The following is a 22,403-nucleotide window of genomic DNA, read 5'->3' on the forward strand; positions in this document are numbered from 1 at the left end:
AGTCACTCAACCTCTCTATTCCTCAGTTTCCTCAACTATAACAACAGGAATGGTTGTTGACCCTACCTCGGAGTGCTATTCTGAAAGTTAGATGAATTAATACATGAAAAGTGTTCAGAGCAGTGTCTGGCACAGAGTAACAGCTCATGCTCATAACCTTTGTGCATGGCATCTCCTAGGCTTGTACAGTGCACAACTGATACAGCTGTACTCAGCAGTCCTACTCAATGAACGCAAATCATTTTGTCCCCCATTTTTTGGATGATGATATGGTTTGGCTATGTTCCCACACAAATCTCATCTTGAATCAAAAGTAGCTCCCATAATTCCCACGTGTCATGAGAGGGAACTGCTGGGAGGTGTTTGAATCTTGGGGAGCAAGTCTTTCCCATGCTGGTCTTGTGATAGTGAATAAGTCTCACGAGATCTGGTTTTATAAAGGGGAGTTTCCCTGCACATGCCCTCTTGATTGCACCCATGTAAGACATGCCTTTGCTTCTCCTTTGCCTTCTGCCGTGATTTTGAGGCCTCCCCAGTCATGTGGAACTGTGAGTCCAGTATACCTCTTTCCTTTATAAATTATCCAGTCTCAGGTATGTCTTTATTAGTAGTGTGAGAACAGACTAATACGCATGGGAAAAATCAAAGTTCAGTAACCTGCCCAAGGTCACAGGCTCATAGATGGAGGTACTGGGACTGAAATCCCAATTCTGCCTGACCTTTGGGTCTGCTCCTAACCACCACATGATACTGTGTGATGTTAAACATCCCCCCGGTGGTAGAGAACATAGAGAGAATGCAACCTCTCCTTCCCTCCCATTCTTTGACCCTAGATGGAGCTCATCTCATCTTACCCCTGTGAACTCCAGGCTTCCAGGACCCACAATCACAGAAGAGTCAGGGCCCCACCAAATATCCCCAGGCCAAAGCTTAGCAGCACTTAATTTATGCATAAGATCTGAAGCATGTTTCCCTCTGTAACTACAGTATGGGGAGGACTTGGAATGAACATTTTACTATTTAGTAGAAGAAGGGTCCTATCCCAAGGGAATAGTAGGCAATGAAGCCCTCCGTAGATGCCTGCCTTGCAGAATTCGAGCAGATCTGGGGAAGCCGGGCTGATTTAATTAGAGAACAATAGAATGACTTAGTACGCACGGAGGAAGGTGCTTTTTCTAGCTATTGAAAGTGTTTTGGTGCTTTGTACCCACATACTCATGCCATTGTTCTATTGATTTTACAAAAAGTAAAAATTGGAAGAGAAACAAAAATCTAATGAACTTAAACTAAAATCAAATCAGATGTGTTGTTGAGGGTCTATTGGGATCCAGCCCACACTAGGTCGGGAGACAGATGGAAATTGCAGGACCTTCATCTCACCCTAAACCTCTCCACCCCTGAGAGGCCTTGTCCATGGGGACGTGATGATTACTCAGAGTCGAAAGGTGGGAAGTGTCAGCTGTCACCTCAGGTCCTCATTGTCACACTGGCCACAAGGGTTGGAGAGTGAACATCAATAATTCTTCCCTGTCGCCTGTCAACCCAACCACCTTTACTACCCACTGCTCTCTGATGGCTCTTCCTGGAGCTCCTCAGGGGAAGGCATTTTCAAAGGCGAGTCTGGCCAGTGTTGCGCCACTGAAGGATCTGATCTCTGTCCTTAACATGACTTGCCACCGACTTCATAAAAACATCAGTCAAACAGCCTCCGTATGGAAATAATGTGCAGTGAATTCTTCTTATGCTGGGTCATCCATAATAAAAAATCAGCCAGAGGTGGCCCCATATTTCTTTCTGCTCCCTAAAGTGCAATAAATTGAAACTTTTAAAGCTCAGCATGAAGACAGCTTGTCAGCAGCGGCCTGGGGCCTGCCCCGTGGAGGTCTTGGGCTGGGAAATGCCTGGTCTGGTCTATCCAGATCCTCTTAAAATCTAGACCTGCTTGACTTGTGTGCCTCTGGGACACTGACCTCCCTCTACCCATCCCAGTGGAACAGGAAGGCTAAAATTCCTCAAGATGGTCAGTGCTGAGGCCCTGCTTATCCTGACTGTGTAAACTTGGCCCATTCTTTTGGCTTCCGCTTCATTTTCTTTCTCTCTAAAATGGAGTTAAAAATTCCCACTTCCCAGGGATGAAAGGAGCTCACAACGACAATTGTTACCATTTTGTAATGTTTTCTCACTGCCAGACACTGTGTAAGCACTTTGCATGTTTTCATCCATGTATCCTGCAGACATCCTGTGATGGAACCATCCCTATTTTATAGAGGAGGAAAACTGAGGCATAGCAAGACGGTGCTGCTGGCAGAAGCAGACTGCCTCAGGTCTGGCTCCAGTGCCCAAGCTCTGAACCACACACACAGTGAAATCTGGCACTTAGTGTTGGTAACGTTGGTTTCCTTCCTCTGTCCTTCGGAATGAATGTGTTCATCCCTGGCAGGTTCCAGGAATGATGCATATTTCCACCACATTTGCTCAAACTCCGAGTTCTGTCATTTTACAGACTCCCAACTTAGTCCAGGCTCTCCTGATGCTGCCTAAGAGGTTTCCGTTATAGCACGAAACCACTGAGCTGTTTTCTCTGCAACAGAGCTCTCTCTTTATTTTGATCCATTCCGTCTGTGTGGTCAGACCTCCCAGTGAGTGGCTTTCTATGAGGGGCAGTGAAGCTCAGTAGTTAAGAGCTTGGGCTCTGGCGTTGGAGCAAGCAGGCTCTCCACAGACCAGCTCTGTGATGGTGAACAAGTCACTTCCCCTCTGTGTGTCTCAGAGTCCGCCTTTATCAAAAGGTCCTAATGGTGGCACCTTTCTCCTAGAGGTGCTGTGGGGCTGTCATGAAGCAAGGCAGAGAAAGCACAGTGCCTTGAACATGGTCCCCAAGCAACAGTAGCAGGTGGGACTGCTAATGCCAAAACCATCAGGGCCAAGATAATCCTATCTCCAGCCCAGTATGAGCTAAGAAGGCCAGCAGCTGTCTCCATTGACTGCTGTCTGTGTTCATCTCTCTCTGGGGATAAGTCGTCCCTCTCTCTGCTTGCTCCAAGGAAAGAAGGGAAAGGAAAGAGCATTTCTGGATCATGCACCATTATGCCATCTATAAAATGGGGATAAAAATAGAGTCTCCTTTCTCCAGGGGCTCCGAGGACTGGCGGGATCATGCTGCTGAAACCCTCTGCTGAAGTAGGGGCTGGGCAGATGGGAACTGTGTCATCGTGTTCTGCTTTGCCCTGTTGCTTTATTTACAATGACTCTCTCTTGCCTCCTGGCTCCCAGCCCAGCTCCTTGGCCTGGCAGAGGGGCCCTGCGTGAGGCCTCCTCTTCCACCATTAGTTATCTGACATCATCTCCCTTGATGGCCCATCTGCTCCTGCCGCCCAGACCTTTTGTTGTTTGCATGCCCTGCTGTGCCGATTCTTCCATTTCTTTCCACTTCCACCCCTTCCACCCCGGCTGGAGCACCTCCACCGCCTCCTTCCTGCAGGACCATGGCGATCCCCTCACTGGCTGCCCTATTTGCAATCTGGTCCCACCCTCCCCACAGCAGCCAGAGGGAGATTAGGCCACCTACCTCCTTAGAAACCATCCATGGCTTCCTGGCAGACTGAAATAAAATCTAAGCTTTGTAGCCCAGCTCACAAGCCTCAGAGATGTGACCCGCGTCCACATCTTCAGCATCTCCTCCTCCTCTCCTTCTCTGTGCAGCTGCCCTGCCGCACTAGTGAGGTTTCTGTTCCTCAGCACCACCGTTAGTTCCTGTCTCTGCCTCAGGGCCTTTGCACTTGCTATTGCTGCTGCCCAGTGCGCTCTGCACATGGCCATCTACTTTGCATCTTGTTTCTTTCTTTCCTTTTTTTTTTTTTTTTTTTTTTTCTGAGACGGAGTTTCGGTCTTGTTACCCAGGCTGGAGTGCAATGGTGCGATCTCGGCTCACTGCAACCTCTGCCTCCCGGGTTCAAGCAATTTTCCTGCCTCAGCCTCCCAAGTAGCTGGGATTACAGGTATGTACCACCATACCCGGCTAATTTTTTTGTATTTTTAATAGAGATGGGGTTTCACCATGTTGGTCAGGCTGGTCTTGAACTCCTGACCTCAGGTGATCTGCCCGTCTCAACCTCCCACAGTGCTGGGATTACAGGTGTGAGCCACCGCAACCAGCCCTTCCTTTGCATCTTTTAGGTCTTAGCTTAAGTGCTTCTCCTTCATGAGTCCTCTGACTTCTCAAAAGAGGGGCTGGTTTTGCCCTGCCTGCCTTCAGGGCAGCCCTATCACCCACCTCCTAGCCATGGCAGAGGCACTTGAGTTACCTGCTGGAAAATAAGACCAGGCCTGACATCTCACTTCTTCTGTCCATTATGCTCTAACAAGGCCAATTACCTTCCTTTGCTCTACATCAATTTTCTCAGTGTGTCTCAATCCCTCCCATTTGCCGACTGAAATGGGCCCCCAGCCCTCTTTTGCTGGGCCCAACTGCAGGAATACATTTTTCTCAGGGGCTGGAAAAGGGGGTTTTGTGAGTTGTGACCCATCCCTCTCTGAGCCCCGAATGTTTACCTTAGGTGATTTCTAAGAGTGTTTTCTGTTCCGAGATACAGAAAAGGGGGATAAGAGGGCCAACGGGACTTACTGTAGACCTGCTAAATGTTCAGCACTCTGAATGTGCAGGCATCCTGCTGTGAGCTGAACATTATAAATGAGCTGAGTTAGGCTGGGCATGGTGGCTCACGCCTGTAATCCTAGCACTGTGGGAGGCCGAGGCGGGCAGATCACAAGGTCAGGAGTTCAAGACCAGCCTGGCCAATATGATGAAACCCCGTCTCTACTAAAAAACAAAAATTAGCCGTGCATGGTGGCAGGCGCCTGTAGTCCCAGCTACTCCAGAGGCTGAGGCAGGAGAATCGCTGGAACCCGGGAGGTGGAGGTCGCAGTGAGCTGAGATCGTGGCACTGCACTCCATCGTGGGCGACAGAGCAAGACTCCATCTCAAAAAAAAAAAAAAAAAAGCTGAGTTAGAGTTCAGAAGAGGCAGCTGCCAACTGCAGAATGGATTTAGGGTATGTGCATGAATATGGGTTTCTCCAGTGGGGCGTGTCTGTCACCTGGGGCCACGTACATAAGTAATTGGATGAATCTTGATGACTCCACTTTGCTAGGATAGGAGGCCTACTGTGTGCAGCTGGGAGGAAAAGAGAGAAAGAAAAGTGTGAGAAAGAGCTTTATTTAAGTCGGTGTCTCTTAGCCTTCGAGGATCTAGTGAAAGCTATGAACCCAGCAAAATGCTAAATGCTCACATGCAGAATATTTTGCATACCCTTTTAAAGGGGGTCTGTGGACCCACTTTTAACCCTGAACCCTGGTTAAGAAACTTCCACTTGGCTGGTTCCCATGGGCCGTCAAACCACCTCCTACAGGAAGCCTCCCTCAATTCCCATCCTGTGTTTCCACTGTGCCAGTGTCACCCTCTTTCCTCTACTGCACAAAGAGGTTGTCATTAGCTGTTCTTGCCTGTCTCCCACTGAGAGGGCAGGGGCCAGCTTGATTGTTCCCTGCATGTCCAGTGCCTGGCACTGAATGGGCTTCAGCAAGGATTTGCTGAATGGAACTGAAGAATAACTCCTGGTGATGCACCAGGGGTGACATTTTGAGTGGGCTCAGAACCTGGCAGCTTCAAATGCAAATTTATTTGCTTTCTCCCAGGTGTGAGTTGATGAATAGTTGTGAAGACATGAGGGCCGCCTGTATATTAATCCCATGCCTGGGAGGGGCTGGGCTGAGCTAGAGGGGAAGGACATTGAAGGAGGCAGCCTCATGAGGAGGCCTCTCCTCTCCCCTCGCCTCCCCTCTCCCCTCGCCTCCCCTCCCCTCCCCTCGCCTCCCCTCGCCTCCCCTCCCCTCCCCTCGCCTCCCCTCCCCTCGCCTCCCCTCCCCTCCCCTCCCCTCGCCTCCCCTCCCCTCCCCTCCCCTCGCCTCCCCTCCCCTCCCCTCCCCTCCCCTCGCCTCCCCTCCCCTCCCCTCCCCTCGCCTCCCCTCCCCTCCCCTCGCCTCCCCTACCCTCCCCTCACCTCCCCTTGCCTTGCCTCGCCTCGCCTCCCCTCCCCTCTCCCTTCCCCTCCGCTCTCTTCCCCCCTCCCCTCCCACCTCCCCTCCCCTCCCCTCCCACCTCCCCTCCCCTCCCACCTCCCCTCCCCTCCCACCTTCCCTCCCCTCCCCACCTCCCTTCCCCTCTTCCCTTCTCATTTTCTTTTCTTCTCTTCTCCACCTCTTGCCTGGTCCAGCTGGAGCAGAGTGAAGCCAAGTGTGAGGAGGCCTTGAAGACGCAGAAGGTGCTCACAGCGGACCTGGAGAGCATGCACAGCGAGCTGGAGAACATGACGCGGAACAAGAGCCTGGTACCTGTCCCTTCCTGCAGCTGCAGGGACCTGGGCCAGCATAGGCCTCTGGGAGCTAGTGTGGGCCTAGTGTGCGCTCAGCACTATAGGAAGTATGAGGACATTTATTGTAAACCTACCAGGTAGCACCTTGGAGGTACAGACATCCATTGTAGGCCTTTTATGTGCTCAGCTCTGTAAGAGGGACAAGGGGACTTATTGTAGACCTACTAGGTGCTCAGCGTTCTGAATGTGCAGGCATCCTACTGTCAGCTGAGCATTATAAAGATATAAGGGCATCAGCGAGGCTCAACTGTGTGTTCCCATCTGCAACGATAAGCAAGGAAGTCTGTTGTGGACATAATGGGTGCTCAGTGCTGTGAATGTGCATCTGATGTGAGCTTGTTATTTGCTCAGTACCCAATGTGGAAACACAACTGTATGTTGTGTGCCCACCCTGCTTGCCACTCTAAGTGGTTCTCAGACATCTGCTGTGGTCCTACTGTGTGCTCACCATCATGAGATGGAACTTGTTCCTTATTGTGGGGCTACTGCATGTCCCCTCTAGTAAGTGGAGACAAGGGCATCTCTTGGCCCGCTTAGGCTTATTACCAGGAGAAGATTTGAGCCATTTATTATGGAACTACCCTGTGCTCACCCCTGAATGGGGACACATGGACATATATTGTCGATGTATTATTTTGGTGAGAATTGGATGTAGGTTTCCAAGTCCCCTATCTGGGTGTACAGGGTTGGCTTAGATTTATACTCAATGTATAAAACACTAAAGTTTAGGTATAGTTCGAGTTTTATAGGCAAATGCTTATCTCAAGATCTCTGTGGGCCTTTTTGTCCCTTATGTTGTTGGAACTTGCCTACAAGCATTCACACACACACATACACATACATGCGCACACGTGTATACACAGGAATGAATGTACATATTCACGTGCGATCACCAGGCACACATACAAAATAAATGCCCTCCGTATAGGTAACCTGTGCCTCCAAGTTTATTCATCCACCCAATACATATTTATTGAGCACCTGTTATAGGGCTGGCCTGGTGCTTGCTGCTGAGGTTATGTTTGTGGACAGAACAAAGTCCCTGTTCTCAGGGAGAGCGCCGGGATTTGCATTTTCATATATGTACTAGGCACATTTAAAATGTGCACACATAGATTCCCAAGTGGGATTGCACAGACATAAATTCATACACACATACACCCTGAATTCATAGTCACATGTAATGCCTAATACACACACACACACACACACACACACACACACACACACACACACACACACACACACCAAGCTGTTATACCTACCACATGCATTGGTAACCACAGCCACTCTTAAACATTGATGGTCACTCACCTCACACACCTATAGGCAAGCCCCTCTTTGCTCTTCCTCTGGACCTTGCTGCCCATCCCTCACCCTCTCACCTTGCCTTGACCACTGATCTGCCTCCCCCAGGTGGATGAGCAGCTGTACAGGCTGCAGTTTGAGAAGGCGGACCTCCTGAAGCGCATCGATGAGGACCAGGATGACCTGAATGAGCTGATGCAGAAGCACAAGGACCTCATTGCTCAGGTAGTGAATGAGACCTTGGTGGAAGAAGCTCAGGGACTTGGGGTGGGGTGAATGGGGAATGTTGAGAAGGTGATGTGGTTGGACTACTCCCTGGTCTTAACATCTTGGAGGGATAAGTGCACAGAGATAGTTAGGAATTGTGCATTTCCTGTGGTCCTAATGGAGGACAATGTCACCTTCAGATGGTGTGTGCATCTCTGGAGGACGTGTCCACCATGAAAGATTTGGACTTATTCATGCATCTGTCTGCCCATCCACCCACCCATCGATCATTCATCTGCTCATCAATTCACCCATTCACTTTTCCACCCATCTACTCATTCACCCACTTAACTATCCATCTATCCATTGTCCATCCATCCATCCGTCCATCCAATCATCCACCCATCCACCCAACCACCCATCCATCTGTCTGTCCAACCATTTATCCATCTATCCAGTCATCCATCCATCTTTCCATTCATTTATCCATCCATGCAGCCATCCATTCATTTATCCATTCATCCATCCTACCACCGCTTACCCATTTATTCACCTATCCACCTATCCAACCATCATTTTCTTTTCTTTTTCCTGTCTTTCCTTCCTTCCTTCCTTCCTTCCTTCCTTCCTTCCTTCCTTCCTTCCTTCCTTCTTTCTTTCTTTCTTTCTTTCTTTCTCTTTCTTTCTTTCCTCTCTTTTCTCTTTCCTTCTTTCTTTCTTCCTTCCTTCCTTCCTTCCTTTCTCTTTCTCTTTTTCTTCTTTCCCCCTCTTTCTTTCTTTCTTCTTATCTTTCTATCTGTAGCTATTTATTCAATATTTACTGAATCCTTGCCATGTGTTAGGCACTGTGAAAAATGCTAAGTATATTGTGGTGATCAGAAGCACATCCCATTCCCACCTTCATGTACCTCACAGTTTAGTGGGCTGGGAAGACCTTATCATATGGTCACCCAGAGCAGAGGGCAGACTTGCAAACTGAGCCAAGAGTCCAGAAAGGAAGTGTACACAATTCTGCAAATCCTGACCTAGGTTGGGAGTCAGGAAGGGCTTCCCAGAGTAGGTGTCATTTGGATGGAGATCTGAACAAAGAATAGGAGTCACTTAGATTGGAGTGGGACATTGGGGATTGGGGGTGCCTTCCAAGCAGAGGAAATAGCACATACAAAGGGCCTGTGATGGTGCATTGGAGAGACTGAAAGGAGACCAGTGAGGACAATCTGGCACAAGACAAGCTCAGCAAAAGAAGAGGATCAGATCAGGGTCTTAGAGGCTGTTATGAGATTGGGTTTTATTTTATGGTTGAAGGGAATCAATTGGCAAGCTTTTCAGGGGCAAGAGCAGTTGGAGAGGAGCAGCCAGCATGCCACCCCAGACTGTCATCTCCATAAAGGCAGGACTCTCCTCTGCCTTGTCCAGTGCTGTATTCAGAGCCAAGAAGGGTGTCTGCCCTGGAGGTGCTCAGTAAATCACTGTTGAATAAATGAAAGCTGACTTTGTCCAGGGGAAAGACAACTCCAGCCTGGTAGATGGAGTGAAGATGAGGAGGAGTGGATGGATGGGCTTGGGAGATGATCGGGAGCCATGAGGGCAGCATGGGTGAAACAGAAGCTTTGGGGTGAAGCTGAGGGGTATGATGTGGAATCCCCAGCAGATCTCCACATAATGACTGCATAATGGGGAGAACAGCTCCCTCCTTGCAATACACCATCCAGAGGAGAGCCGGGGTAAAATACCTGCCACGCTCTAAATGCATCTGACAGAGGTTGGATCTGAAGGGATTTCTGCTGGACAAGGAATAATAATAACAAAATAATTGATGATATCATCCACATGGTAACAAACACCACAAAAATAGCCTATGCCAATGTCTCCACTTGCGAATCACACTTATTTTTGCCTCAAAGAGAGGTTAATCTGTTCAGTTACAAAGGCACTATATGCATATGCCCATAATAAATAATTTAAATAATAAAGATACAAGAAATAGAAAGTAAAGAGGTGTTTCTACCCTCTAGAATTCCTCTCTTCAGAGGTAATGAAGCTCAACAGTTGGTTCTATTTTAAAAAAAACCTTTACTCTCCACTGCTTAATTTGATCTCTGAACAAACCCAATACGGAAAGGCTGAGCTGAGATTGTCAGTCCGTTTTACGAATGCAGAGACTCAGGTGCAGAGAGGCTCCACAGCTTGCTAAGGCCAGGGTCCAGGTCTAGAAGCTCAGTTAAATGACCCTCCGAGTAGCTCTCATCCCTCGGAATCTGGTCCTAGTGCCATGGCCAGCCCACTTCTGTCTGGGTTCTCAAGGGTATATAATAAAATGCTGGACAGTGGACCAAATCCAGGGGCTTATATAATTGGAGTGACTCAGCGAACATTGAAATGAAAGATGGTGAGGAGGATGTGAGAGGTAATTTTTGGGAAACAGCTATTATCATAGAAGCTCTGAGAGATGTAGACATCTGTGGGTGGGGAAAGTAGGGATTTTCAGGGGTGGTTTCCCAGCAAGGCTTGTGGACTCAGGGTGATATATATACATTTTTTTTTTTGTCTCACCAGTCTGCTGCTGACATTGGGCAGATCCAAGAACTGCAGCTGCAGCTGGAGGAAGCCAAGAAGGAGAAGCACAAGCTACAAGAACAAGTATGTGCTCAGAGCCATCCTATAGTTGTATTAGTCAGGGTTTTCTTAGAGGGACAGAACTAATAGGATGTGTGTGTGTGTGTGTGTGTGTGTGTGTGTGTATGAGTTTATTGTTTGTTTATTTGTTTATTTATTTTTGAGACAAGAGTCTCACTCTGTCACCCAGACTGGAGTGAAGTGGCGCGATCTTGGCTCACTGCAACCTCTGCCTGCCAGGTTCAAGCGATTCTCCCGCCTCAGCCTCCCAAGTAGCTGGGATTACAGACACCCGCCACCATGCCTGGCTAATTTTTGTTTTTTAAGTAGAGACGGGGTTCTACCATGTTGGTTAGGCTGGTCTCTAACTCCTGACCTCAGGTGATCCGCCCTTCTCAGTCTCCCAAAGTGCTGGGATTATAGGTGTGAACCACCAGGCCCAGCTGGGAAATACGTTAAGTATTAACTTACATGACCACAAGGTCCCACAATAGGCCTTCTGCAAGCTAAGGAGCAAGGAGAGCCAGTCCGAGTCCCAAAACTGAAGAACTTGGAATTCAATGTTCAAGGGCAAGAAGCATCCAGCACGGGAGAAAGATGTAGGCTGGGAGGCTAAGGCCCATCTCTCTCCTTTTCACGTTTTCCTGCCTGCTTTATATTCTCTGGAAGCTGATTAGATGGTGCCCACCAGATTAAGGGTGGATCTGCCTTCCCCAGCCCACTGACTCAGATGTTAATCTCTTTTGGCAACAACCTCACAGATACACCCAGGATCAATACTTTGTGTCCTTCAATGGAATCAAGTTGACACTCAGTATTAACCATCACAGGGAGGAAGAGAGGGATTCTCCCTGGGCACTTACTTATACTTTGGCTCCTGGAAACTGTTTCCTTCATTCTTTTATTCATCAGTTCATTCAAATACTCACTCAATTCCAGTTGTGTGCGAGGTGAATTGAGACCAGTCCTTAGACAGACACATGCACACACACTCACACTCATTTACTCTTGGCCTGTGCTTGTGCTGAATCCAAGCGTGCCCCATGCACTGAGATTCAGCCATTCAGTGCAGAATTTTCTCCGTCTGAGAAATGGCTCCAAGAACAAGAGATGGTCTGTGCAAGACAGGATCACGATCCTCTGCGAAATCTTCCTTTGAAGTCATGGTCCCTCCAAACATCTCTGGCTTTCCATCATTACCTAGAGGGTTGCTATTATCCATGAAATTTTCAAAGCTCTTCTAGAACCCTGGCATGCACCTGCTTAAAGTGACTGTTGGAGTGACCAGGTCTCAAGCAATTTCCTATGGGTGCTGGATAACAACACGCACAACAAATGGAACAGCAGCAGTGGCCATTTGCTGGCTGCTTATTATGTGCCAGTCACTAATCTCCTCTAATCCTCACAAGAAAAATGAAGAAACCAAGGCTCAAGGAAAGGAACTGACTTTCTCAGACTCACACACCAGGCAGAAACCTGGCTCCCAAACCCACACTTGCTTGTATCTTTTGATGCTGTAGCTTGTTGCTCACAGACTAGCTTTGCTCCTTGATCAGAGCAGGGAAGGAGAGAAGGGAAGCACTGATTAAAAGTCTTGTTTTCAATTGTGAAGGCATAAGAAGCATCACCTCCCAGCACCTGAGACCCAGGATCAGGGTCTGGTGTGAGGGTCCAGTGAAGGTCCCAAGATTGACACCTGGCCATTCTTGCTTGTGCAGACATTTAACATGCAGCACACCTGAGTAGAGAAGGAGGTGGTGTGAATAGCTCCTCCCACCCTCCCAGGCTGGGTCCTGCACATGTCTCTGTCCTGGTATCAGGGACAACAGATGTCCAATAGACTTCTCTCATACTTACAGCTGCAGGTGGCTCAGATGCGCATCGAGTACCTGGAACAGTCCACCGTGGATCGAGCCATCGTCAGCAGGCAGGAGGCGGTCATCTGTGACCTAGAGAACAAGACAGAGTTCCAGAAGGTGCAGATTAAGAGATTTGAGGTACGTAGTGATTCATAAATAGTGCCTGGGCCAAGAGCAGGGAGAGCTTTTGTGTAAGCTTCATCCATCCTTCTACTACTCATCTATCTACTCACATGCCTTCATCTAGATATACATTACTCATCCACTTCTCACCCAAGCTCCCTCCCTCCTTCCATCATAGCATCATCCCTCAAGCCACCTACCCATTTACCCATCTATCCTCACGTATGTCTCTCCATCTCCTTCCACCATCATGGGTCCATTCATCCATCCTCCCTTCCATTTGTTCTTCCTTTCACCTTTACTTTTTCCTCTCTTCCTCTATTATTTTTTCTTTAGCCCTCAACCCCTCTGTCTGCCCATTCTTCTATGCATTGATCCAGTTCTTCCTACCTCCGTCCACCTACTCAACCACTTACATGCCCAACACTCATTTTGAACAGAAATTTATTTTGCACCCAGTGTGGGCTAGGCCCTGTTTTAGGTGCACAGAAGACAGATGTATGACACAGATCTGCTTTCAGAAGCATATGTCTTTGTAAGCAATGTGGGTAAGATATGTACATAAATATCTGTAATATGGAGAGAGGGCTGTGATGTTTAGAGGATAGAGATCTTTTCAAGACTCTGGAATCAGGAGGGCTTCTGGGAGGAGGTGGCATTAATGCTGAACCTTGAAGGACAGGTAAGACTTGGATGGGCTGGGGTGAGGTTCAGTGATTACATTCACATTGCCCTTGAGCTGGGAACACAGGTGTTCACTTCTTCAGCTCTGTAGGCCAGTGACATGGGACTCTTACAGAAGACATCACCATTGTCAAAATCCTTTCACATAAGCCACTCCACTTGAGGTTTGATACAGTCCTGTGAGGCAGGTAGGATAAGCCTTATCTGATGAGAAGATGACCCCGGAGAGGTCAAGTGACTTGCTGAAGATAAAGCCAGGCAGTGCGTGGGATAAGGTAGATGGACACCTGACCTTCACTTCCTCCTGGTTACAGGTTCCAATTTCTCTGCAGCCAGCTGGCTTCACCACAGTAAGACAGTGCGTCTAGACAGTTGGGAGGCTGCATTCCTCATTCTGAAACATTTCCCCTTGATCTCCCTAGGGGCATCTGGTCTCCAATAAGGCTGCTATGGATGAAGAACAGAGAGAAATTCTTCTTTGCTTTGACCCTCAGTGGTTCCCAGAAATTGCTCAAGGGATCCCTCAAGGTCTGACTGTCTCTGCAGATCACCATGAAACTTTGATCTACTATATTTTAAATAATTAAATATGTAAAGTTGGGCTATATCACATGCCATTTTAAAACTTGTGTCTAGCGTAGTGAAATGACAGCAGAGGAGAAAAGAAAATGAATGTGGGAAAACTTCAAATGGAAAAATTCTATCTCCAAATTCAATTTTGCCCTCTGCCACTATGATTTGAATTTAGTAGAATCCTGGGTCTTTGAGGTGTAGAGATGGGGTACCTCAAAGACACAGTTTGAGAACTCCTTCCACTCTTCCTGCTGTTCTTGGAATTGTGGCTGAACTTCATTTGAGAGGTGAACTGAATAGGAAAGCATTTCTTTTAGGTTATTATTTGGTGTCTGATCTGCAGGCTGTTATCCCCACTGCCTGTGGCTGCAGAAAAAGGGCTCAAAGTCCTTAGCAGGGGCTTGAAATATTCATGTGGGTCCCGTCTTATGTCAACACTAGAGTATTTGCCCATCAGGATCGATTGGTTCCCGGCTTGTTGGCCAACTAATGAATTCTGCAGAACAGTCTTTGGGTTTGTTTTGTGTGGCACTCGTGATGGCCAAAGCACTTTTCTCTCTATTGTTTCATTGTGTCCTCAAGGATTCCCCATCCCCCCTGCCACCAGGAAAGGAAAAATGTCATAAAATAGTAGGGCTGAGGCTCATGAGAAATTATCTGAACACCCTCATTTTATAAATCAGGAAACAAAAACACATGTGGGGGAAAGGTTTTTGACTTCAGCAGAGTTCTCTCTTCATTGCACCAGCCCCTCGAGATAAATAGGAGCTGCTAAAAAAAAAAAAGAATTAATAATCCCCCATCCCTTATCTGGCACATCCTATGTGCCAGGCACCCAAGCCTTCTGCATACCAAGAAATTAGATTCTGACAGCGTCCCTGGGACACAGGTACTATCATCATCCCTGTCTCTCAGAGGGCCTCCATAACGTGCCCAAGGTCACATAGCCAGGGAGAGGTAGAGGTGGGATTTGAACCCAGAGGGTCTTGGGGGCAAGGGTTCTCATAAATACGCTACACTGCCTCTCAGAATAGCAGTTATTTTATTTATTTATTTATTTTTTCGAGACAGGGTCTCTCTCTGTCACCCAGGCTGGAGTGCAGTGGCGTGATCTTGGCTCACTACAACCTCCACCTCCCAGGTTCAGGCAATTCTCATGCCTCAGCCTCCCAAGTAGCAGGGATTACAGGCATGCGCCACCACGCCCGGCTAATTTTTGTATTTCTTAGAGAAGGGATTTCGCCATGTTGGCCAGGCTGGTCTCTAATTCCTGACCTCAGGTAATCCACATGCCTCGGCCTCCCAAAGTGCTGGGATTACAGGCTTGAGCACTGCGCCCGACCATCATTTTTTGCATGTTGTTAATTCTTCATTTTTGTAGCAGACATCAGTATTCTTATCCTGATTATGAAAACACAGGAAACTCGGCAAAGGATTTATCTTCCTGAGGCTCCCTTGTTTCATACCCCTGGCCTCCAACTCCAAGGTGGGCATGTGTCTCTGCCCCTCCCAGGTCCTGGTGATCCGGCTTCGGGACAGCCTGATCAAGATGGGGGAGGAGCTTTCACAGGCGGCCACCTCCGAGTCCCAGCAGCGGGAGAGCAGCCAGTACTACCAGCGGCGCCTGGAAGAGCTGAAGGCCGACATGGAAGAGCTGGTGCAGCGGGAGGCAGAGGCCAGCCGGCGGTGCATGGAGCTGGTGAGTCCTGTCCCCATCATGGGCTCTTAGCGACTGAGGGTTTGCAATGTGGTAGACCCCCCTTTCTTAAGACTTCTGAATGGGAGACTCATAGGTTTGGGTCCTGGGCCTCAGGGGTGTGCGGAAAGCCAGGAGAAACAAGAAGGGGAGAGTGGGCTGAGACAACACCGTCATTGGCTGCAAACCCTGGAGGTGGGCCCAAAGTGGACCAATGACATTCACTGCTGCCGGATGGCTGCCAAGTTCATTTACATATCAGATCCCAGACTTTCTTTTCCTGCTCCATTCATTCCACTCCAATGGCAGGAAGGCCTCATACAAAAGAGGAAAAAACCGGTATTTATTAACGGCCTATCTTTCACCAGGTCTCAATATCCATAATATTCTATAATCCTCATGTCAGCCCTGTGAAGTCAGAATTATTGCCCCCATTTCACAGATGAGGACAAACCGAGCCTTCCAGAAGGGGAGATGACTAGTCTAAGGCCACATCTAGTAAACATAGAGCTATTTCTGGGCTGTTAATAGCACAACAAAAATAAAAGATACAAATGATGATTCAAGCCACCATGTGTGAAGTATTTGCTCCCTACCAGGTTCTGAAGGAAACATTTCTCGTCTAAATCCTCATTTCAGAACTGTGAGGTAGGTGCTATCTTGATGTCCCTTAAAAAGGTGGGGAAACTGACACGTGGAGATATCAACTTGCCAAATTGAGGCTCCGAATGGTCCATTTGCTTGCCCAGGGTCACACAGGAGTAAGAATTTGAACCCAAGGCTGCCTGACAATGTAGTCTCTGCTTTTAGTCACTAACTCATATTTTGTCTCCAGGATGGACCGAGGAACCTTTTTTTTTTTTTTTTCCCTGGAGACAGAGTCTTGCACTGTTTGCCAGGCTGGGGTGCAGTGGCACGATCTCAGCTCACTATAATCTCCATCTCCCAGGTTCAAGCGATTCTCGTGGCTCAGCTTCCTGAGTAGCTGGGACTACGGGCATGAGCCACCATGTCCGTCTAATTTTTTGTATTTTAGTAGAGACAGGGTTTCACTTTGTGGCCCAGGCTGGTCTCAAACTCTTGAGCTCAGGCAATCTGCCCACTTCGGCCACCCAAAGTGCTAGGATTACAAGTGTGAGCCACTGCGCCCGGCCCCAAGGAACATTTTAAAATTTGTTTCTTGCCTAATGGGAAGGTTTCTCCATCATTCAGTGTGTTGTTCTAAGAAGTTTTCTGCACAGGTCACAGAGCATCTAAGAGTGACTGTTCCACTTTTTCTCCACGGGGCCAGATATCACTAAGGTTCCAGATTTCTGATTCTGTGACCTGGGGTGTATCTGGCACCCCTATCGCCTACCATCACTCAGCCTTCTAGAGACAGCCCACAATATGCCAAGCCTTGGCCCAGAGGTCTCTAAATTACATTTGTTTTCTCCTTCCTGCATTATCCGCTCTGGTGCTGTGAGAGGTCTTACCAACTTGTTCTTCCTGCAGCAAATATATTAATATGTCTCGGGCTACTGTCTTTCACAGCCGGTGTCATCCCCATCAGCTTTGCCCTTGACAAGCTGGCTGTCTGGTTCTTCTGTGAGGGGGCAGTAAGGCACCGCACAGAGACAGAGGTTCCCAGACAAAGTCCAGGCCTCCTGACTGGCGGTTCCTCCACACCCATGGCCCTGGGAGAGAGAAAAGCTCTTTCCTCCAGTTGACAGGATAACTTCCTCATTAACCAGCCCCATTTCTCATGCAGCTGAGCACCCCTCCTGCAAGCTCTGGCTGGGAGGAGAGAACATCCCCAGCCTTTCTCCTCTGATGTCTTCTTTAACTAGCCAGGCACTCAGGCATTCTGTCCAGATCAAATAGTGATTTTCTTCCTCTCTGTCCCTTGACCTCTTTTTCTCTGTCTCTTCTCTCCTTCCCTCTTTTCTCTCTTTCCTCTCCCTGTCCCCATTCCTGGGGCCATATTCTGATCTTGAAAGGCCCTGAAATACTGAAAAGATTATAGCATAGTTCCCACATATGAATCAAAATGGACACAACACAAAACCTTAAAGAGCTTGCATGCATGCTGAAATTAGACCTGCATCTGTCTCCAATTTCTGATGGCAAGATTCTGGATAAGTTTATCAAAGCTGAACTTTTCTCTTTAGTTTGGTGAGTGTGGTTGAAAGGAGTGTTCGTTTCCTAGGATTGCCATAGCAAATTATCACAAGCTGCATAGCTTAAAACAACAGAAATTCATTCTCTCATAGTTCTGGAGGCCTGAAGTCTGAAATCAAGGTGTGAACAGGGCTACACTCCCTCTGAAGGCTCTGGAAGAGCATCCTTCCTTGCCTCTTCCAGCTTCTGATGGCTCCAGGTGCTCCTTGGTTTGCGGCTGCCTCAGTGATGGCTTTCTTCACATGGCTTTCTTTTCTGTGTATGTGTGTCCCAAATATCCCTCTGCCTTTTTCTTATAAGGACAACTGTAATTGGATTCAGGGCTCACTCTAAATCCACGTTGATCTCACCTTAAGATCCTCACCTTAATCATATCTACAAACGCTTTTGCTTTTTTTTTTTTTTTTTTTGGAAACAGAGTCTTGCTCTGTCTCCCAGGCTGGAGTGCAGTGGCACAATCTCAGCTCACTGCAACCTCTGCCTCCTGGGTTCAATCACTTCTCCTGCCTCAGCATCCCAAGTAGCTGAGACTACAGATGCGCGCCACCATGCCCAGCTAATTTTTGTATTTTTAGTAGAGGCGGGGTTTCACCATGTTGGCCAAGCTAGTCTCGAACCCCTGACCTCAGGTGATCCACCCACCTTGGCCTCCCGAAGTGTTGGAATTAACAGGCATGAGCCACCGCGCCTGGCCTACAAACCCTTTTTCTAAATGAGATCACATTCACAAGTCCCAGGTGGACTTGTCTTTTGGGAGGCAACCCTCCAACCCACTACAGAAGAGGAAGGCACATTTCTGCTTGGTTGGCATTCTGAAGTTATCCAGTACATCCTGTCGTTTCCTTAATGCTTCTGTGGAAGAACAAAGCTCCACGAATAAGGTCGGGCCAGCAGCCTCTTCCAAATACTGGATGTCCTAAAACTCACCAACCTATTTGCTCTCAAATATTTCCTTTGCCTTTGAGCTCTGGGAAGTTTCCACTGGGAGAAGGGAGGAAGTCATACTTTCTTGTATCACTCATTTATTCATTCAACAAATACCTATTCAACACCAGCTATGAGCATGGCACAGGGATAGGCACTGGTGAGGAAGGGCAAGGAATCATAAGGTCCTTGCTGTGTAGAAGTTACACAGTGTGCCCAAAACAGGGCTCAGTGGGAGAGTTAAGTCCTCACTGTCATTGAAAGTCTAGTCTTGCTGCTGAGGCCCCTCCTATAGGTGTGGCATCCTGGTACTCTCCCTGGCTTCTGAAGACAGATCATCCCATCTGTTCATGTCTATGCCACCAACTTGCCTTCCCTCATCCCATTTCTATAAGATAAGGGGCAGCTTCTTTGTGCCATATGTTCTCTCTAAACTACACTAAAATCCTGCAAGGCAGCCAGAGCTTTGCTTCTTTCCTTCATGCAATATATATCCATAGTTTTCACTGTGGGTCAAGCCCTGTGCTTTATGCTGGATACCCAGTGAGGAACAGCACACACCTTTGCCCCCCAGGAGCTCATAGATGGAAATATATAACTGCATGAGAAAATACAACTAAGGCCATTCTTAGTGTACTTCGTACAAGTATGGAGTTTCCTCCGTAATGAGAGCTCAGAGCCTTCACAGGCAAAACAAGGGGGCATGCACTGTGATTTGAGGGATTTTAGAAGGCCAGTTGGCACCAAATCTCTCTCCCATGCCCACTGTCACCACCACAAGTCCATTTCTTTGGGCAAAGTATTGCCTTCTCCATCTTCCTTTTTTTTTTTTTTTTTTTTTTTTAAATTGAGACAGGGTCTTAGTCACCCAGGCTGGAGTGCAGTGGCACAGTCATAGCTCATTGCAGCCTCCAACTCCTGGGCATAAGCGATCCTCCTGCCTCAGCCTCCAGAGTAGCTGAGACTACAAGTGCATACCATTGTGCCTGGCTAATTTTTCAATTTTTTAAAATAGAAGTGGGGTCTCACTACTTTGACCAGGCTGGTCTTGGACTGCTGGCCTCAAGCCATCCTCCAGCCCCAGCCTCCCAAAGTGCTAGGATTATAAGCATGTCACCGCTCCTGGCCTGTCTTCATTTTTAGAATTCACATCCTCCCTGGGAGGGATAGAATACATTTCCTAACTCCACAGTCCAAGCATTCATTTATTCATTCCATCAACAAACGTTTATTGAGTTGTTCTATGTTCAAGCCGTTTGCAGAAGTTGTCTTCTTTAGCACTTAATGTCAACCTCAGCAAGTGGAGAACATGGAGGGGCCCGGGTGTGAGGTTGTCCAGGGCTGCAGGGTCAGAAAGGGCAGAGCTGGGATTGGTGTCCCACGTGTCCAATGCTAAAGCTCTCACCAGGTCACCCTGCTGCCCTTTCAACCCAACCTTGCTGAAAAATGGCTCTGCTCTGGAGACCAAAAAAAGGATCCGGTGCTCTGGGCCCTGGAGAGCAGTGGGAAGGATGTTGATGGATCTCCTGTCCACAATCCTTTCCGCCCGTCCCCAACCTGTACTATTTGTCACTGTTGGTGTTGGTTTAAAGAACTGTGAGTTGTTGCATGTGAATGATTTATACCCCCAGCTGACTCTCTGGCACATCCAGATCAGGATCAATTACCCCTCCGGTGGAACTTTGCTTCCCAGAAAAAAGAAAAATGAGGTTTTCCCATTAATTTTAGTAAATGTACTATTCCTGGAGACTCCAGGAGCCATTATGGAGAAAATAATATTCTGGCTCTAAATCATTCCAGTCCCTTTGTCATTAGAGCGATGAAGCAACTCATCTGTGGATGTATATATCCTGTTGTTTTTCAGTAGTTACAGGGCCCGGGGGAACCACCCTGGTCCCAAGACTGGGTAATCAAGGGGTGCCTGAGGAAGCTGGAAGTCCTGATGCTGACGGGAAGGCCTGACTTCGGCCTACCAGGTGCACCTATTTCAGAGGCTGCACCTGTTGGGTTTTATCCCTCATCACCTTGGCCTGATTCTCCGGTTTTGACTTTCCCCTGATCCAGGTGTCCTTTTCACAAGTTCCCCAGGTCTTGAAAAACTTGCATGGTGCTTCTGCTCACTCTTCCTGCATCCACCTGGTGACCTGAGTTAGAAATTGCAGCAACCTGTCTCCCTCTCGCTCACATAGCTTAATGGTCAGACCCGCTGATTTTACCCTATTATTTTTCAAATTCACCCCTCCTGACCCATTTTTGCTCACTCTATCTTTATTTAAGCATCATCCCCTCCAGTCTGGGCTTCTATAGTGACTCCTCACTTGTCTCCCCACTTTCCCTTCAGTCTTGGTCCGCCCTGCAGGAGATCCTTCAAGAAGGAGCATAGCTTACTGTGTTATTTCTCTGCTAAGAAATCTTTTATGGGGCCGGATATGTTGGCTCATGCTTTATAATCCTAGCACTTTGGGAGGACGAGTGGGAGGATCACTTCAGGCCTGGAGTTCAAGACCAGCCTCGGCAACATAGCAAGACCCCATCTCTATGAAAGAGAAAGAGAGAGAGAAAGAAAGAAAGAGGAAAGAAGGGAAAGGAAGGAATTAAGGAAGGAAGGAAGGAAGCAACAAAGAAGAATTTGCTACGTCTGCTGGCATGTACCTGTAGACCCAGCTACTCAGGAGGCTGAGGTGGAAGATTGCTTGAGCCCAGGAGTTCAAGATTACGGTGAACTATGGTTGCACCCCTGCACTCCAGCCTGGGTGACAGAGCTAGCCTCCATCTAAAAAAAAAAAAAAAAGAAAGAAAGAAAACAACAAAAAGATCTTCCATGGGTCATGGGTCTCCATTGCCTTCAGAACAAAGTTCAAACTGCTTCCTATGGCCTACAAGAAATCTAACCTCTCTAGATTTTTCCACCTCTGGTTGTCTGCCTCTCATCCTCTTACCTGTTCTACTTAAGCATAAAGACAGATGTTGAGGACTGCTGTAGTTTGAATGTTTGTCCCTCAAGCATCATGTTGAAATTTGATCCTCAGTTTTGCCATTAATTTTAGTAAATGTGCTATTCCTGGAGACTCCAGGAGCCATTATGGAGAAAATAATATTCTGGCTGTAGATTATTCCTGTCCCTTTGTCATTACAGCGATGAAGCAACTCCTCTGTGGATGTATATCCTGTTGTTTTTCAGTAGTTACAGGGCCCGGGGAACCACCCTGGCCCCAGAACTGGGTAATCAAGGGGTACCTGAGGAAGCTAGAAGTCCAGATGCTGACGGGAAGGTCTGACTTCGGCCTGCCAGATGCACCTGTTTCAGAGGCTGCACCTGTTGGGTTTTACCTGTTGGGACCTCATAGGAGGTGTTTGGGCAGATCCCTCATGAATGGCTTGGTGCCTCCTCATGGTAACGAGTGAGTTCTCACTGTGTTAGTTCTCACTGGAGTTCCCCTGAGAAATGGCTGTTGAAAACAGCCTTCCACTTCCTCCTCTCTGTCTTGCTTCTGCTCTTGCCGTATGATCTCTGCACATATCAGCTCCCCTTCCCTTTGTGTCATGAGTGGAAGCAGCTAAGGCCCTCACTAGAAGCAGGTGCTGGTGTCACACTTCTTGTGCAGCCTGCAGAACCGTGAGCCAAGTAAACCTCTTTTCTTTATAAATTACTCAGCCTCAGGTATTCCTTTATAGCAACACAATTGAAATAAGACAAGACCCCAGTGCCATGTTACTCCTTGATTCACCGCCTTTATCCTCATGCATCCTGCTGCCTGCCTATGCAAATTTCAAAACTCAAATATCAGGTTAAGCACCTCCTTTGTGTTCCCGTACCCCCTG

The 22,403-nt window shown here is 47.9% G+C and overlaps 1 protein-coding gene across 14 annotated transcripts in view, besides 2 other annotated features; it reads left to right on the plus strand.

The window, feature by feature from the left end:
- MYO18B (myosin XVIIIB) overlaps positions 1-22,403 on the plus strand; it is a 321,660-nt gene that overhangs the window by 197,677 nt on the left and 101,580 nt on the right. For all 14 annotated transcript variants that reach the window (XM_011530461.3, XM_011530458.3, XM_017029014.2 and 11 more), the window contains 5 exons: positions 6,273-6,386; positions 7,848-7,964; positions 10,503-10,586; positions 12,422-12,559; positions 15,315-15,500. In XM_011530461.3, the coding sequence (XP_011528763.1) occupies positions 6,273-6,386; positions 7,848-7,964; positions 10,503-10,586; positions 12,422-12,559; positions 15,315-15,500 (639 nt within the window). The remainder of the gene's footprint in view (positions 1-6,272; positions 6,387-7,847; positions 7,965-10,502; positions 10,587-12,421; positions 12,560-15,314; positions 15,501-22,403) is intronic.
- Positions 2,820-3,357: an enhancer, noted in NCBI's record as "OCT4-NANOG-H3K27ac-H3K4me1 hESC enhancer chr22:26338651-26339188 (GRCh37/hg19 assembly coordinates)". NCBI's record gives its function as "activates a minimal SCP1, AML or CMV promoter by ChIP-STARR-seq in naive and primed H9 embryonic stem cells {active_cell/tissue: H9 hESC(naive and primed)}" and the evidence as "EXISTENCE:reporter gene assay evidence [ECO:0000049][PMID:30033119]".
- Positions 3,358-3,894: an enhancer, noted in NCBI's record as "OCT4-NANOG-H3K27ac-H3K4me1 hESC enhancer chr22:26339189-26339725 (GRCh37/hg19 assembly coordinates)". NCBI's record gives its function as "activates a minimal SCP1, AML or CMV promoter by ChIP-STARR-seq in naive and primed H9 embryonic stem cells {active_cell/tissue: H9 hESC(naive and primed)}" and the evidence as "EXISTENCE:reporter gene assay evidence [ECO:0000049][PMID:30033119]".

This window comes from Homo sapiens, chromosome 22 (assembly GCF_000001405.40).
Source record: "Homo sapiens chromosome 22, GRCh38.p14 Primary Assembly".
Taxonomy (NCBI): Eukaryota; Metazoa; Chordata; class Mammalia; order Primates; family Hominidae; genus Homo; species Homo sapiens.